This window comes from Homo sapiens, chromosome X, assembly GCF_000001405.40.
Source record: "Homo sapiens chromosome X, GRCh38.p14 Primary Assembly".
NCBI classification, from domain to species: domain Eukaryota; kingdom Metazoa; phylum Chordata; class Mammalia; order Primates; family Hominidae; genus Homo; species Homo sapiens.
In genome coordinates, this window is record NC_000023.11 from 70,163,336 (window position 1) to 70,181,723 (window position 18,388).

The 18,388-nt window shown below is 45.5% G+C and overlaps 2 protein-coding genes across 7 annotated transcripts in view, besides 2 other annotated features; both read left to right on the forward strand.

Annotated features, from left to right (window-relative positions):
* IGBP1 (immunoglobulin binding protein 1) overlaps positions 1 to 2,989 on the forward strand; it is a 32,878-nt gene extending 29,889 nt beyond the window's left edge. For all 6 annotated transcript variants that reach the window (NR_199784.1, NR_199785.1, NM_001551.3 and 3 more), the window contains one exon: positions 2,498 to 2,989. Coding sequence is in view for 4 of the 6 variants with exons in the window: in NM_001551.3 (NP_001542.1) it covers positions 2,498 to 2,646 (149 nt within the window). In the remaining 2 variants the exon portion in view is untranslated. The remainder of the gene's footprint in view (positions 1 to 2,497) is intronic.
* Positions 13,711 to 13,770: an enhancer, noted in NCBI's record as "active region_29729". NCBI's record gives its function as "activates an Ori minimal core promoter by ATAC-STARR-seq in GM12878 lymphoblastoid cells {active_cell/tissue: GM12878}" and the evidence as "EXISTENCE:reporter gene assay evidence [ECO:0000049][PMID:35858748]".
* Positions 13,791 to 13,840: an enhancer, noted in NCBI's record as "active region_29730". NCBI's record gives its function as "activates an Ori minimal core promoter by ATAC-STARR-seq in GM12878 lymphoblastoid cells {active_cell/tissue: GM12878}" and the evidence as "EXISTENCE:reporter gene assay evidence [ECO:0000049][PMID:35858748]".
* Positions 14,148 to 18,388, forward strand: part of DGAT2L6 (diacylglycerol O-acyltransferase 2 like 6) — a 28,222-nt gene continuing 23,981 nt past the window's right edge. The window contains exon 1 of the mRNA NM_198512.3: positions 14,148 to 14,332. Within this exon, the coding sequence (NP_940914.1) occupies positions 14,248 to 14,332 (85 nt within the window). The 5' untranslated portion in view covers positions 14,148 to 14,247. The remainder of the gene's footprint in view (positions 14,333 to 18,388) is intronic.

The window sequence follows — 18,388 nt, forward strand, 5'->3', positions numbered from 1 at the left end:
GGTGTGAGCCATCGTGCCCAGCCCATAATTATATTATAAAACAAGACCAAATTATTCAACCTCAGAGGCTAATAAGGGAACCCAATATCTTGAGAAATGGTAAATAAAGGGAAAGAGTCAAGTATTTTATCTTTTCTACTAGGTAACCAAATAGTAGTTGATGAGGGGAAGGCTCTCTTTGTAAAAGTATTCCAGTTAATTTTAAAAAGTTAAAATTAAGGGTATCACCTTTTTGAAACCCCCCAATAAATGAATGGGTCTCGGCATTGAGCATCAACAGCTCCTAACATTACAACGAGACAGAGATATTTACATGCCTCCTGATGAAGGAATGCAGCACCACCTATAATTATAATTCATGCTGAAGGGATCAAACTTGAGTCAAATCAAGCCTCTGTATTCAGCTGCCAATCTGCAGAAAATAAAGGAGGACATGTTAGACTGCATCATGAGTATGCAATCAGCAAAATCCAGTCTTTGGGAAACAAACTCTACAGGTCATATGCCCCAACTTCTTCAACAGATAACTTGAAAGAAAGGGGTGGAGGGGGAACCCATAGATTTAAAAAGATATCAAAACATTTTTAAATAGGCAAGGCTAACCTCAAAAATACGATGCTAGGCCAGGCGCAGTGGCTCACACCTGTAATCCCAGCACTTTGGGAGGCCGAGGCAGGCAGATCACTTGAGGTCAGGAGTTCGAGACCAGCGTGGCCAATGTGGTGAAACCCCATGTCTACTAAAAATACAAAAATTAGCTGAGTGTGGTGGCAGGCACCTTTAATCCCAGCTACTCGGGAGACTGAGGCAGGAGAATTACTTGAACCCGGGAGGTGGAGGTTGCAGTGAGCCAAGATCGCACCACTGCTCTCCAGCCTGGGAGACAGAGCAAGACTGTCTCAACAACAACAACAAAAAAAGGTGATGATGCTAAGTGAAAGAAGTCAGCCGCAAAAGATCACAGATTACATGATTTTGATTTCATGTGTATGAAATGTCCAGAATAGGCACATCTATGGAGACAGAAAGTTGATTCATGGTTCTAGGAGCTGGGGGCAGGGAGGGAAGGAATGGGAATTAACTGTAAATGGGCACAAGGGATCTTTTGGGGTTATAGAATTTTTTAAATTGGATTGTGGTGATAGTTGCACAACTCTGTACTAAAAAATACATTGAGTAAAAAAATGAATGTACAAATGGACAATTACAGTGTCTAGTGGTATGCACTTGGGTGATAAAGCTGTGATGAACTCTAGGAAGTTATTACTATAAAAAGCAGTATAGAGGTTACTTTTGCAGGGGAGGAGAGTTGATTTGTATAATGTACACAGAGAGGCTTTTAGGGTGGATACAGGAGATCTGTTTCTTGACCTGAGTGGAGGCTATAAGGCCTCCTTACAAAAATTTGTTTTATATGTACTTGTGTGGTTTCCACCATGTTTTATTTTATAGTAAAGGGTTTAAAAGAAAAGAACGAGGCAAGGTGGCTCACGCCTGTAACCCCAGCACTTTGGGAGGGCCGAGACCAGCCTGGGCAACATAGGGGAAGACCTTGTCTCCACAAAAAATGTAAAAATTAGCCAAGTGTGGTGGTTCATGCCTGTGGTTCCAGCTACTCGGGAGGCTGAGGCAGGAGGATGACTTGAGCCCAGGAGTTCGAGGCTACAGTTAGCCATGATCACACCACTGTACTCCAGCCTAGGCAACAGAGAGAAACCCTATCTCAGAAAAAAAGACTCCTGAGCTGTTAGAAGAGATCAGATCCCCACACATTTCATTCATAGTAATGAGACTATTTCTCATGAGCAAAGTCAGAGTAGCCAGGAAAATGCTGCTTTACCTCACAAAGGAAAAAAAATGCAAAAGAGATGCAGCAGTTGGTTTAATTTCTTTTGGGTGTACACTGCATGATAAATGCCATTTGGACCTCAGAGCCTATTTCAAGCACTGCAAAATAATACGTAGGCATTCTTTTCTGGTAGGTCCAACTGCCCTGTGATTTTCAATTTTATGCACAAAAACTTATGTATGACTATAGTAAAGGAAATGGATGGAGGAGGAAACGTCAACTGCAATCCCACCCCCCTGGCAACTCACAAATCACAAATTCATAAATATTTTTTCTTTCCTGTTTTTGGATTGCAGGGGTTGTTTGATGGTGGTGGTAATGTTTTTGTTTAGGGGCTTGGGGGGGGTGGGTGTTGGCCATTTTTGCAAGAATTCTCTTCCAAAATAGAATTCATTCTGAGGGGCACCTTTTATGATTTTTGCCTTCTTGTGGAAACCACTTAGAGCATCCTTTCGTACTATTTTTTAACATGCGATATATTAGGTAATGCAAGTTCTCTCCCCGCTTCCGCCGGGCTCAGGGTAGGCAGCTGGCTGTATTCCTGTTCTCATTGCATGTGGTTGTGCTCAGAGTGGAACTGAGGCCCCTGACGTTACTTATTAACATTCCCTCAATTTCTCACCTCCCTTTCTAATTTTTCCACTTTAGAGGAATTCAGAAAAGCAGCTCAGCAACAGGAAGAACAAGAAGAAAAGGAGGAAGAGGATGATGAACAAACACTCCACAGAGCCCGGGAGTGGGATGACTGGAAGGACACCCATCCTAGGGGCTATGGGAACCGACAGAACATGGGCTGATCTTCCCACAACACCACAGGACTGCAGGGTGCACAACTCCCCTGCCAAGGAAAACCATGCAGTCCTCCCCTCCCTGGTCTCCTGCTTCAGCTCTGTACAACGAGGGCAAAGATGCTAAATCTTGCTTTGCATTCAGTAAAGTGTCAAGTGATTAAGTGTGTATTTGTACCCTAGATGATATGAACCAGCAGTCTTGTTTTGGCATCATCCTCATCATGTTGTATTCCAGCTTCTTAAGTGGAAGGAAAAGAGTGCTGAGAAATGGCTCTGTATAATCTATGGCTATCCGAATTCTCTGAAAAAATAATAAAAGTCCCCTCTATTATATGAGCCTGTACAGAAATATGGCTATCAGCTGCTTTTTTTTTGCCGGGGGAGTGGGGACATTTAGCTGTGGGTCTCTGGGCTTATGGGGAGATGCCCTTTGATGTGGGCAGTGAATTGGTCCAGCATCAGATCTGCCCAGGCATTCTCCTTCCTACTGGGCATATGATATGAAGCCATATAAGTAGCACCCTGCACCATGAAGCAATCCAGCACTCTACAAGGGGAGATCATAAAAACCAGAGCTTTCCCTGGTACACAGCACTATTCTCAGAAACTATAGCTGTAAGGTGAATGGACCGCAAAGGGATGTAGTCTACTTCCCAGTCCTATCTACCTCGTCCTAGCTTGGCCAGAAGAAATGAGAGATAGAGGAGGCACTCTTAAAAGTCATCCTTGTGTATGTATCTGAGGCCAGAGCCTTTACTCTCATGCGTTTACCATATATCCCTTAGGGTGAAGAGTAGCCTCAGGCCATAGCCTTTTTTTTTTTTTTTTTTTTTTTTTTGAGACGAGTGTCATTCTGTTGCTGGAATGCAATGGCGTGATCTCAGCTTACTACAACTTCCACCTCCCTGGTTCAAGCAATTATCCTGCCTCAGCCTCACAAGTAGCTGGGATTACAGGCGCCCGTCACCACACCCAGCTAATTTTTGTATTTTTAGTAGAGACGGGGTTTTACCATGTTGGTCAGGCTGGTCTCGAACTCCTGACCTCGTGAGCCACCCACCTCGGCCTCGAAAGTGCTGGGATTACAGGCGTGAGTCACCGCACCCAGCCATCCTAACTCTTCAATTGGCCCTTCTTGCCTATGCTGTGAGATACTTGGCACAATCCAAACTAATGGCCTGGGTAAATGTGCTGTGGTGGTCGTTTGGCTGCTTAGTGAGGTGCCTGCAGTCACGCAGATAATGGGTGTGGAGGAGGGGGACAGTACAGATGACACTGCAGGGTACCTACTTTCTGGGGAACAGAGAAGACAGTGTCCTCAGCTCTTGCGTTGGCATCCTATAAAAGCAGCCATGTGTTGAAACAAATGATATGCACAGAAAGCATACTTCTGTGGCTTTGTTACACGGGTTTTCTTTCAAGAGGAAGATGACTCAGCCCTCCCAGCTTCTGCAGTCTAGCTTAGGAGAGGTGTTTGAAAAGGAGACTCAGTTCCCTCTTGTTTATAGGGTGGTTAGTGGAGGGCTGTCAGGTGATGAGGGGGAGGTTGTGTTTCGTGGGAGATGACAGAAGACTACCAATAATCTATTTGTATACTGCTTAATGAGGAGTCATCTCACCCTCACAACATAAGCTCCTGAAACTGGGAGAGCACAGATTAAATCCCCCAAGGATTTGGAAAGCAACATTTTCCGCTCTCTTCCAGTGGCTGCCAGCCTGCCTCTAGCAATGGCCTATTTCCTGTTTTTGAAACTCCACCCTGAGTTTATTCCCAAATGGGCCAGGTTGGAGTTACCTCTTGGTCCAAGTCCGTTGAAGATTGGGCCTTCCAGGAGGCCCAGCTCAGTTAAACAGCTTCACACATCCTGATATCTAACAGGCAAACCAGACAAGGTGGGTTTGAATTCTGGCTTTAAAAATTGCAGGCTGACAGAAAGACAAACTTCGCATGTTCTCGCTTATTTGTGGGAACTAACAAAACAATTGGACTCATGGAGATAGATAGAGTAGAAGATTTACCAGAGACTGGGAAGGGTACTGGGGTGGGGATGGGGATGGTTAATGGATACAAAAAAATATAATGAATAAGACCCACTATTTGACAGCACAACAGGGCGACTATAGTCAATAATAATTTAATCGTACATTTAAAAATAAAAGTGTATAATTTGTAACAAAGGAGAAATGTTTAAGGGGATAGATACCCCATTTTTCATGATGTGATTGTTATGCATTGCATGCCTATATCAAAACATCTCAGGTACCCCATAAATATATACACCTATGCACCCCCAAAACTAAAAAATAAGAAAATCAAAAATTGCAGGCTGTGTGACGTGACCTTGGGCAATAAGACTCTGAGCTGCCTTTTCTTCGGTGTATGTAGATAAGCTGTCTCCTGGGGCTGTGAGGATTAAATGAATAATGGCACCTATTATCTGTAAACTCAGGCAACTGAAGAGTAAGTGCTTTCTGTTAGCTTAGTGACTGCAGTCTGTCCACTGAGAAGGGAAAGGAAATGGACAGATATTGGGCCCCTGGTATGTGCCAGGCACTTTCCCACACTATTAATACAATGACCCTGCGAAACTTGATTTCTTCAAGTTCACACTAGTAAGATGTTATGCTGCTGTCATTTTCCATGTGCTTCCCAATTGCTTGTGCTTTTAGCTGTGTCTTAAAGCTGCTTCAAAGAGGAGCAGCTTTAGAAATCCAAACTAAAACAACCATGTCTACATCAGTGGAGCTCTAGAAATTCCTTCTTAGCTGACTCACCAAAGCAAAGGTTATGCCAGCTCCCCCGCCACTGCCCCCTCAGCTGGGGGATAAGAAGACGGAGGTGGTGAGCAAGCTCATCTTCCTCCATTTTCCTCCCCAGTTCTGTCTGCCTGAAGGCCGGAGAAACCAAAAAAGCACCACCTTCTCTACTCCCACCAGAGGCGAGTTCTTTCAGGGTCCTAGAGTGAGCTGGGTTTGCTGGATTCCCGGAAGCAAAGACTCTTAAAGTTCTCAATGATAGTACTGCTTCATAGTTTGCAAAACACTTTCACATATGCTGCTTATTTCATTCTCACAACCTGTCAAGCAAGATCTGATATCTTCACACAGCTAAGAAGTAGAGCACGCAAACAGATCAGCTTAGCCAAAGTATTTGCTCTCTGCGGCCCTCACGTGGAGGCCAATTAGATTTGGAAGAGGAGAATGCTAGGCACTATTTCCTTTAATGCCGTTACACACTGATTTGTCCTTTCCACTCTTGTTCCTCTCAACACCCCTGTGAGAAAGGGCAAGGGGAGAAATGAGCTGACTTCAAACCCAAGAAGTTGGAGTTAGAGTCCTGAGTCAAAGTCTCAATTCTGGGGGCTCTGCCACTCCCAAGCTGGGTGGCCCCAGGCAAAGTCTTCTGTAAAACCGCCTCTCTGTGTCACCCAAACCCCAGAAAGTCCTCCTCCGCTGACCCTGCGCCTGCAGTTTGCTCATTAGCACAACAGGAGCATAGCCACCTGTCTCTGTTGGGCACGCTACAGCAATAGGGTATTGTTGTCACTGTCTCCTTGCAAAACAGCTGTCCCCAAAACCTGTGCATCATTTCCTCACAGATTCCTTTTAACCCACTCATCAAAGGTGCAAGTCAACAGGGCACGGTTCGTTTCTGTCCATCACAAGGAGGCGTGGGTTCTAGTCCCAGCTCTGTCACTGTCTTAGCCCCTCTGAGATGGCAGCCAATATCTGCCCTACTTACCTCACAGGCCAGGGTGGGGAGCAAATGAAATCATATAGGCAAAAGCACTTTGAACAGTTATAAGACACGACACAAGAGTGACGAGTAAGAGCAGCAGGCTGTTGGTAAGCTGGAGGGACGGAGGAGGGGATGCTTTTTTTTTTTAATTTTGGTAATAGAGAAGGGGTCTCCCTGTGTTGCCCAGGCTGGTGTCAAACTCCTGGGTTCAAGCGATCCTCCTGCCTCAGTCTCTCAAGTAGCTGAGATTACAGGTGTGAACCACCATACCCTGCTGATTTTTGTATTTTTTGTAGAGATGGGGTTTCACCATGTTGCCCAGGCTGGTCTCGAACTCTTGGGCTCAAGTGATCCTCCTGCTTGGCCTCCCAAAGTGCTGGGATTACAGGCATGAGCCACCGTGCCCGGCCTTTTTTTTTTTTTTAAATTCAGCAGTTCACGACTTAAACCCTTGCTCCTCCGATGCTTTCTCAATCAGTCTTCTAGATCTCACCACCAGCCAAGAGGTTTGTGACATGCTTTTCTTCATGTGCTGAAATGACCAGCAAAAAAAAAGAACTATGCACAGTGAAAACTGGGAACCAGTTTTTACATATCTGCCTGCCAGGCCACCTTTGACAAATGTATGTGAAAAGATGATGGGCAAAGTCTTAGATTTCAGTGTCTTGTTCCAACTGGCAACAAATCCCTCAAAGAGAGTAGAAGTGAGCAATGTCTTAGGCTGGCCTAGTCCAGTGTGGTAGCAGGAATAAAAATTATGGCTACTGTGTATTAAGCACCTACTATATACTAGGAGCTTTACATACAGTATTTCTAATCCTCACAACACCCAAGGGAGATACTATTATAGTCTCAGTCTGTCGATGAGGAAATTGAGGTTTAGAGAAGAGATTTCCCAAAGATCACTAAGCTCTAAGTGGTTGAGCTGGGCCTGGATTCCAGGTTGGCCTGAGGACATATGAAGGTAGGAAATACATCCTGGTGGTACACTGCTCTGGGGATAACCCCTTCCCTTTCTCTGTCCAAGTTTTGAGCAAAAATTCCTGCTGGCCCCTTCAGGGACAGTCTGAGACCTGCTCACTAGGGGCAAACCCCACTCAGAAATCTACCCCTCCTGGGGCCCTCGCATCACTCAACCCGCAGTGGAACATTTCTGCCCCCAATGCCAAGCCCACCTACTTTCCCTTTCCCTGTCCAGCCTTACTTAGCTGGTCTTTGTTCAAGTAAATCTTTTATTTTTATTTTTATTTTTTTTAGAGACAGAATCTTGCTCTCTTTCTTAGGCTGGAGTGCAATGGTGCAATCACAGCTCACTGTAACCGCGAACTCTGCTCTCTTTAACCTGAATGCCATCAACTCATTTTTAAAAATAGAGACAGCCTTACTATGTTGCGCAGGCTGGAGTGCAGTGGCTATTCACAGGCACAATCTTTGCACACTGCAGCCTTGAACTCCTGGGCTCAAGCGATCCTCCTGCTTCAGCCTACTGGTAGCTAGGATAATAGATACATGTCCACACCCAGCTATTTTTTCTATGTTTTACTTTGTAGAGATGGGGTCTTGCTATGTTGCCTAGGCTTCAGGTAAACCTTTTAAATATTTTCTCCCAGATGCTCATTCAGGGGTTCCTACATGTTTTCTAAGCCAGTCACAGCATCTCTTCATCTACCAGGCCTTTCAGGACAACTAAGACCAGACCCAGGCCATGCATGCATGGGGTTTGGGAGACAGGGGCTGGGAGGAAGGGTTTCTGCCTGAACTCTGAGGCGCTTCAACACTCAGGAACAGATACAGCCTCTGCTACCCTGGTGCCCTTGGCCCTGGCTCAGAGGTGTTAAGAGATTTGCAGAAATAAACAGCTTTATTTCATCTGTCTTCCCCTTTCCTTGTCTAACTTCTCCATTCCACCTCCGGCTTCCCTGTCCACAAATATACTGGCGGCTATCACTAGCCCTGGCTGTTTCACTGAGCTCCCAGACCTGTATCCTGCCATCTGCTATACAGCTACCCTTGATGAATAAACTGAACTCAAACTCCCCAGTCTTACAATGAACTCATCACATTCCCCACCCCTCTCTCTCCATCAGAGCTTCTTAATGTCCCCATCACCTACTTAGTGCTCATCCTCAGAAGCTCACCATTGTTTCTGGCTTTTCCTCCTGACAAAGCAAGCATTCAAATGTCTGCTGAATGAATTACTGAATGAATGAGTCCCATCATGAATCACACTTCATCAGGCAGATTCACAAGAATCCAGCCCCTTTCTTTTCATATTCAAACAACTTTACATAAAAGAAAACTTTGAATGCCTTCACCTTAAAGCAGCAATCATTTCTGTCTCAGGCTGATGGATCAGTTCCATCTATCACTGAAGAGACCAGTTTTTTTGGGGTTTTTTTTTTTTGTTTTTTTTTAATCAAGTGCATTCAATGTGGAGGTCTGCTTTATATTCTGCTTTTAAAACTTAGCATGTAATACTACAGTCTGCCTTATAATAATTTTAATAATGTTTAATGACTGCAGATTAGTCTATAATGTTGCTATATAATCGCTTACTTAGCCAGCCCCAGATTTTGAACATTTGGAATGATTCCAGGTTTTTACTGTTAGTTTCTTTATTCATTAACAAAGCAAATTACCTTATTTGCTTGTGTATGCAAAAAGAGGTCCCTAGAGGGGGAGGAGTATTGGGTTGTTAGAGGCCAGGAGTGGGAAGGACACTTTTCACTGAGCACGCATAGTTCCTTCTGAATTCTGAGTCATGTCAATATACCAGCTATTCAAAATGTACATGCCAAAAGCTTACTGTACACCAAGCATTGCGCCAGAAGCTGGCTGTAGAGTTGGGGTCTATACTCTCAACCCAACTCCTTGATATGTGCTCTCCCAAAAGTATGTATAATGTGCCTTGGAAACCCAGAGGAGAGAGCAGGGAATGACATTTTCACTGAATCTTGAAGGGTGGGTAGGAGCCAGTCAGGTTGATAGGATGCTGCTATGGGCAAAGGCTCAGAATAGGAAAGGACACTTCCGGTTTGGGGAACTAGGCTGTATCTGGTGTGGTGTGAAAGTGATGGGAAATGAGACTTTCAAGGAGGGTGGAAACCAGTGTTTCCCTTTCTAGGGCTCTGGGTCCAGGTCCTGGGGTCTGAATTGGATCCCAGAGGCAATGGAGCCTTTGGAGTGTTTGAAACAAGGCAGAGAGACAGTAAGAGCTGTGTTTGACAGCAGCCCCTCTAACTGCAGAATGGAGACCAAAGGAAGGGAGGCAAGCAGGCAACAACCTGCTGTAGTCCAGGAGACAGTGACAAGGGCCCAAACTAGGGGGACCGACTGTTCCAGTTTGCCCAAGATTATACCAGTTTTAGCCCTGGAAGTCCAGCATCCTGGGAAACTCCTCATCCCAGGCAAACTGGGAGGGTTGGCCACCCCTCCCCCAAGACCCTGAACCAGGACACTGGAGGCCGCTGTTCCCTGGGGCCTTGCCTGCCATGAGAAGTGATCCAGTCACTACTGCTTCCAGGGGATTTTAAACGTCCCCTGTTCTGCCCTACCCTCCATCTCCACAGGCCCCTCGTCCCACCACCACTCCTGGGTCTACTTTCACTGGATTCTAGACCTAGAATCCAGTGAAACATAAATCTCTTTACGTATCTAGGCCTCCAGATACGTAAAGAGATTTGTGAGGAAATCAGCTCCACTTATCGCTTTCCAGCCTTCTCTTCTTCTACTCCCCTCCACCAACCTGAGACTCCTATCAAACTAAACCACCCCGTGTGCCAAAGCAAACCTCTGGTCTTTTGTGTATGCTGGGCCACTGTAGGAAATGTCATCCTCCCCACTTCTCAACCTGTTAGAGCACATTGCAAATACTCCCTCCCCACAGCTGAATAGGAGCGCTAGTGAACAGCTCCTGGATGGCAGACACTGCACGAGAAGCTTTTCAAACACTGCCACTACATCTCACAGCAAAGAAATAGGATGCATCCTTTTTACCAGATGAAGAAACCAAGACTCAAAGAGAGGAAGTGTCTGGTCCAAGGTCACACAGCTGCTAGTGTTCGTCTCTGTCTCCTTTGGAATTCTCTGATGGCCCCAATCCTTGTATTGATGACATATGCACTTCTTTCATTCCCTGTCCGTGCCCCCTGCCCCATAACCCAACACACATGCAATTGTAAACCTAGAACAATACCAGACTTAGAGTAAGTAGGGCCTCAAGAAAAATTTGGTGAATGAAGGGATTAGGTACACTCCTTCTAGAATACCTAGCCTGGTGCTTGGCATTAAATAGGTTCTCCATTGTTGTTGTTTAAGACAGGGTCTTGCTCTGTCATCCAGGCTGGAGTGCAGTGGTACATTCTTGGCTCACTGCAGTCTCGACCTTCTGGGCTCTAGAGATTCTTCCACCTCAGCCTCCAAAGTGAGTAGCTGGGACTACAGGTCTGCACCACCATGCTCAGCTAATTTTTGTATTTTTAGTAGACACAGGGTTTCACCATGTTGGCCAGGCTGGTCTCAAACTCCTGGACTCAAGTGATGCGCCCACCTCAGCCTCCCAAAGTGCTGGGATTACAGGCGTGAGCCACCATGCCTGGGCCTAATGTTTTCAATTGAGCTGAAATTGTAATACCTAACCATATAAGGGTATGACAGAGGGAGAAGATCAGAAGAAAACAAATTATGGCAAAACCTCAGCTATCCAAAGCTGTCTGGAAATGAGTCATTCCAAAGGCTGAGGGTGAACCTTTGAATCAGAGCTACCCTTTCTGAATCAGAGCTTTGAATCAGAGCTACCCCTTCACTTCCACCACCCTTTCTGAGCTCTCTGGTCCCGGTCCCCTTGATCTGTTTCCTTCCACTTTTCTCCTTTCTTTGTTTTTCTGTTGCTCCTTTGAAGTTTCTTTGGGGTCCAGCTTATCACAGCCCCGTTTGATGAGCTCACGGCCGTCTCTTGGACTGCCCGTCCAGGCCTCTCTCGCCTGATCCATTTCTCCTCACTGCAGCAGGCCCTCTTCCACAGACCCCTCCCTCACCTCCCAGGGCAGGCAGGTGCTTCTCTCGTCTGTGCAACCCACAGCACCCCATGCAGGTGTCTGCTTTTACACCTACTTCCAACACTGGACTGTGAGTTTCTTGAGGGTGGGAATCACGTCAACCTTCAATGTCTACAAATGAAATTGGCAGGCCCTTTGTGCTCCTTGGCAACCCTTCCTTCTTTATTGCTTACTCTGAGGCTGCCAAGCTTCTGCTTGTTGGTTGATGAATTGTAACTGGGAAATCACGAGTGCTGGATGTTCAGGGTTTATCTGCTAGCCTAATTATCTTCTTCTTGCTCTTTCTTTGTTCACTGATGTTTATGTTATACTTGTCCATTTGGCTCAAGAGAGCTCCAGCTGGGCCAGCGTGCTCTGTCTTTGGGAGCAAAGGGTGGCCAATCTGGGTCAGTCTATCTTGCCTGAGGCATCAAGAGACCTGGTCTCCCTCACAGGTTCAACAGACATTTACTTGAGTGCCTGCTCTGCACCAGACCCTGACCCAGATGTTAGGGAGACAGAGGTAGAAAACTGTCTGGCCCTGTCTGCCTCTGGTTCCTGCATCACCTTGAGCCCTTTCCAGATCTCCTCCATTCACCCATCTGAAAGTGGAGGGGAGCGGAGACCTGATCTGTAAGGGGCGTTGGAGCTCTTGATACTGTGGATCTCGTCTGGCCTGGGCACTCTAAGCCCCTCCATATCTCTGCTTTCCCTGAGCAGAGCCAAGCCTGCCTCTCTTACCTCCCTCCCTCCTCCCGTGCAAATTCTGAGCAGATACGCTCTGATACATCTCACCTTCTATGTGGTCAAGCAGCCCCAAGAAGCAGCTGGAGAACCCCAGCTAGCCCAAGGGGAAGAAAAGAAAGAGGAGGAAGAGGAAGGTGTCGCATGTCAGATGACCATCTAGTGCACACGGGGGAGTGAAAGCACACCCTGACATACCAGAAAAGTTCCCCAAGCTCAGCTCTGAAGAGTCACATTGGTCAGTCTAATGCGGGAAGCCCAAAGCAGAGTGGGGGTGGGGAGATGACAGAGTTCCAACAATCTCCCTGGAAAAGGGACCAATGCCCCCTTGCACTTATAGAACCCTTGATACCATTTTTGTATCTCATTTTCCCAGCAACCCCTTCAGTTATGTTTAACAGATGTTTTTGACTACCTTCTATATTCAAGGCCTTCTGCTGGGAGTACTGGGCTTTTCCTGTAGGACACATTGCAACTTCAAGTGTACAGACATTTTATCTTAATTTTATTTTATTATTTATTTATTTACTTATTTTGTAGAGATGGCATCTCGTTATGTTACCCAGGCCGGTCTGGAGCTTCTGGGCTCAAGTAACCCTCCCGCTTCAGCCTCCCAAAGTGCCAGGATTACAGGCATGAGCCACCGCACCCAGCCTAACATTTTTGTGATTTTTTTTTTGTTTTAATGTCTGTCTCCTCCACTAGACTGTAGACTCAAAGAAGGCAAGAATCATGTCTGTCTTCTTCCCTACTGAATCCTCAGCACCTAAACACAGTGCCTGGCAAACAGCAGTCACTCAATAGATAGTGACAGAAAAAATATATCCAACATGGTGAAACTCTCTCACTACTAAAAATACAAAAACTAGCTGGACGTGGTGGCGCACGCCAGTAGTCCCAGCTACGCAGGAGGATGAGGCAGGAGAATCACTTGAACCCAGAAGGCAGAGGTTGCAGTGATCCGAGATCACGCCACTGCACTCCAGCCTGGGCGACACAGTGAGACTCTGTCTGGAAAAAAAAAAACAAACGAAACAAACAAACAGAAAAAAAACGGTCTGAGACCTGGGAACAGTCTTCAGTTTTCCAAAGGCTATTACACAGAAGCAAGCCTCAGCCTGAAACATATGTTACTTGTTCAATATGTGTTACTTGAACTCAGTGAGTAGTAATGACAGGAAACGGTGCCAGGCTGTGTGCTAAGCACTTTATATTCATTCACTTATCTAATCCTCAGAACTACTCTAAGAAGTAGGTACTATTATAGTCCCACTTTTACAGATGGAGAAACTGGGGCATAGAGGTTCACCACCTTGTAAGTGACAGAGCTGAGATGTGAACCCCAGCTATCTGGCTCTAAAGTCTATGCCCCTAACCTATATTACATTCTAGCAATGAATGCTCAAACTGAGCTCTAGAGAGATGTAACATTTTCCAAAGGTGTCACAGGAAGAGCATGGCAGAGCTGGGACTGGGAGCCAGGTCTTCCTTCTGTGCAATGTTTCTCCCGCTCTATGATAAGGTATCTGGCCACTGAGGCAGGTCCCTTGGGACTAGAGGCACAAAGAGGGATCTGAAGAGTCTATTAACAGATATCCGGTGCAGAAAAACAGCCCCAGTGGGCTAGGTGACTCAGCAGAAGACAAGAGGAGACAAAGGGTAACCACTAGGGCAGGAACAAGTGTGGCTGCCAAGTCCCTTTTCTTAAGCAGGGAAAGGTAGTGGGGTGCTTTTCGGAGGTCCTATTTGAGGCCCAAGATACTCTCTTCCTGCGCTGATTTATCAAGAGTGCCCCTCCCCCACAGCTAGAGCCGCCCCAGGGCCATTTCTGCTTCATTACAATTGGGCACACGTGGAGAAAGGATACTACTGGGGAGATCAATTATATTGCCTGATCTGCAACCTGATGTGTGGGTAGGAAGTTGGGGCGGGGCAGTGGAGGAAAAGTTTGGTCAAGCCTGACAAAACCCCAGCAGCTAATCTTACTCCACAGTAAGAGATTATAGCAAAGCATCTATAATCAACTCAGCTTAAGAAGTTTTGACCTTCTGGTTAGGCTTCTTGCCACAACAGAACAGCACCATAACCATGGCTTTCTTCTCCCGACTGAATCTCCAGGAGGGCCTCCAAACCTTCTTTGTTTTGCAATGGATCCCAGTCTATATATTTTTAGGTGAGTGAACCCCAAGGGCTGGAGAGCACATGGGGAACAAACCAAAAGAGTGGCCAATCTCCAGATGAGGAGGGTTCCAAAGAGATCATCTGGGTGATCTCCACCCTCTGGGAAGGATCTGGCTGGCACAAAGGCCAGGAGTGAGGCTGCAGCTGTTCTGGTTTAAAGATTACTCCAGGCCAGGCACGGTGGCTCAGGCCTATAATCCCAGCACTTTGGGAGGCCGAGGCAGGTGGATCACCTGAGGTCAGGAGTTTGAGACCAGCCTGGCCAACATTGTGAAATCTCGTCTCTACTGAAAAAAAAAAAAATACAAAAATTAGCCAGGCATGGTGGCATGCACTGGTAATCCCAGCTACTTGGGAGGCTGAGACAGGAGAATCACTTGAACCCGGGAGGTGGAGCTTGCAGTGAGCCAAGATCGTGCCACTGCACTCCAGCCTGGGTGACAGAGCAAGACTCCGTCTCAAGATGAAAAAAAAAAAAAAATCACTCCAGTCTTCTCAGGAGCTGTCCCCTATGAACTAGCTGAAAAGAGTCATATTCAGGGACAGGGCAGAAGTGGTGGTGGCTTACAGAGTTGGTGTTACTAGGTAGGTGTAGGGTGATTTTCTAGTCTATGGTTATGGTGAGACAATTCTGGAAAATCTGAGGGCTGCCTGAGTGACATCTCAGACAGAATTTTGAGAAAGAGCCAGTTGTTCTGTGGACTCACAGCACAGAAGTCAACAATGTTGGGCCTCTCCCACCCAAGGCTCTTCTGAGGCAGCTTTTTTTTGTTGTTGTTGAGATGAAGTTTCACTCTTGTCGCCCAGGCTGGAGTGCAAACGGCAAACGGGCTGACAGCTCCAAGATTTTCCCTGCCAGAAACCAGGGATTTGGGGGTGGTCAATTACAGGTGCAAGCTTGAAAACTGGATGAGGAGAAATAATGTCATCCTGAAGGATGAGACAGGTAGGAGACAGCTGGTTCCAACCCATGGGAGGCTATATGACCCTTAGAGCAGAGGCTCTCAACCAGGGTCCTATAGACCAAAAATTCAGGGTGGATGGGGGTTACTTTGAATTGGGATGAATAAAACTGCCTCTTTCTTTCCACTAACCTCTAACTGAAATGTAGTATTTCCTTCAATGATGAATGTAGGCAATAAACCACGAAGTGTTAGGAGTACCTGTGAGTGTCAGTAACAGACATCACAGAGATTTGCATTTCATATTATAGTTGTTGCAGGCATCTCGAAATTTCATTTATGTTCACGACTACTTCAAAATTCCAGTAGTTATTGGCACTGCTGTTAGATCTGGTTATTTAATGCATACATCAAGAAGCACATATGTTACTATATTATATTGTGGGTAATATTTTGATAACTGAATTTTAATATAATGGGTTTCCTTTGTAAATCTGCGTATTTTATTTTGTGCATTTAAACATATTATTCAGAGAAAGGGTCCATGGCTTCACCAGACTGCCAGAGGGGTCCACAGCCTTCTCAAAATGCAGACTTATTAAGCCTTATTAAAATCAAAACATGCTAAGCCCATTGATGGCTTGACTTTAGCTATATCGAGAGAAGAAAGTCATTTTGTTAGTAAACTTAGTTGTTTCTAGACTTTCATAGTTTCCTTTTGTTTTCCTTTGCATTTCCCCTAACTTCCTCAAAAAGACCCCTTTGATAAGTTCTGACCCTCAGCCAGGAAAGTGAGGAGCACAGGAATGTCCTAAGAGACTTGCTATTGGGGTGGCAGCAACCGTGTCAAATCCGGGTCCCAGAAAGAGTGGGCAGAGATGGGGCAGAGAGAGCAGGGGAAAGAGGTCAAGAGAGGATGAGCTATGTGAGCGGGTCCTTTTAGGTGTAGGGCCTGTCCCACCCAAGAATGCTCTTCTGAGGCAGCTTTTTTTTTTTTTTTTTTTTTTGAGATGGAGTTTCACTCTTGTCGCCCAGGCTGGAGTGCAATGGCAGGATCTTGGCTCACTGCTACCTCCGCCTCCCGAGTTCAAGCGATTCTCCTGCTTCAGCTTCCCGAGTAGCCGGGACTACAGGTGTGTGCCACCACGCACAGCTAATTTTTGTATTTTTAGTAGAGACGGGGTATCGCCATGTTAGCCAAGCTGTTCTCAAACTGCTGACCTCAGGTGATCCGCCGACCTAGGCCTCCCAAAGTGCTGGCTGGGATTACCGGCATGAGCCACCGCGCCGGGCCGAGGCAGTGTTTCTAATTAAAATGTACTCATTTTTCTGCCAGAAAATGATACTTTCTCATATATATTTTTCTCTATTTCATTTCCCCTCTCAAAGGACACTGTGTCCTGCTGGGTATAGGGTAGAGAGTGTATCAGACAACTGGATATGTGAGGGACCAAGAAGGTGAGGATTAGCCTCCAAGTAATGCCCCTTTACCCCCAAATCTCAACGGTTTCTAGTTGTCCCAGAAGAGCTGGAGGAGTGGAGTGGGGATGATACCTATGGGTCTTCAGTGGAAACACATAAGAATAAATGGGGCCAGGTGCGGTGGCTCACGCCTGTAATCCCAGCACTTTGGGAGGCCGAGGCGGGTGGATCACAAGATCAAGAGATCGAGACCATCTTGGCCAACATGATGAAACCCCATCTCTACTAAAAATAGAAAAATTAGCTGTGTGTGGTGGCGCGTGCCTGTAGTCCTAGCTACTCGGGAGGCTGAGGAAGGAGAATCACTTGAACCCGAGAGGCAGAGGTTGCAGTGAGCCAAGATTGCGCCACTGCACTCCAGCCTGGTGACAGAGCAAGACTCTGTCTCAAACAAAAAAAGTAAAAAATAAAAAATAAAAATAAAAATAAAGAATAAACGGGATTTTTTTTCACCTTCATTTTTAAAAGTTATTTTTATTGTGGTACAATACCTAGAACATAAAATTTACCGTTTTAACCATTTCTAAGTATGCTCTAAGTACATGTCATTAAGTACATTCACAATGCATGGCCACCATCCATCTCCAGAATTTTATCTTCCCAAACTGAAACTCTGTATCCATTACACAATAACTCCCTAATTCCCCCTCCCTCCAGCCCCTGGCAACCACCATTCTGCTTTCTGTCTCTATGAATTTGCCTATTCTAGGTACCTCATATAATTGGAATTATTATTCCAGTGTTTGTCCTTTCATGATTGGCTTATTTTACTTAGTATAATGGCTTTAAGGCTCACCATGTGGTATCATGGGTCAGAATTTATTTCCTTTGAAAGGCTGAGTTATACGGTGCCTTGTGTGGATATGCCACATATTGTTTTCCATTCATCTATTGATGGACATTTAGGTTGCCTTGACGTTTTGGCTATTGTGAGTAATGTTGCTATGAACATAGATGTACAAACATCTCTTTGAGACTCTGCTTTCAATGCTTTTGATATATACCCAGAAATGGAATTCCTGGATCACACAGTAATTCTGTTTTTATTTTTATTTTTTGGAATTGCCATCCTGTTTTCCTCAATGGCTGCACAATTTCACATTCCCACCAACAGTGCACAAGAGTTTCAATTTCTCCACATCCTCACCTATACTTCTTATTTTCTGTTTTTTAAATAATAGCCATCCCAATGGGTGTGAGATGATCTCATTGTGGTTTTGCTTTACATTTCCCTGATGATCAGTAATGTTGAGCATCTTTTCATGTGCCTGTTGGCCATTTGATTTGACTTCTTTTAGACTGATTAGCTTTACCATTCCATTTGTCTTTCTCTTCTAGTTTAGGTGCTATACATCTTGTTTCTGTTCTTTTAGTGATTATGCTAGAAATTACAACACAAATCCTGGGTCTTGAAGGTTACCAAGGTAGCTTCAGTGTCCAACAGGGCGTGATGCCCACAGAGGTGCCTAAGACATTCAAATATGTTCAATCCAACAGTTATAGATTAAATACTAATGATATGATCTTGGGCTGTCCTTGCTGTGAGATCCTTGCAGCCTCCTTACTATCTAGTAACAGAGATAAACCAATCATTCATTCAATCATTGTCCGCATTTTATGTGCCAGTGCTGGACATATACACAGATCACTATAATGTAAGACAG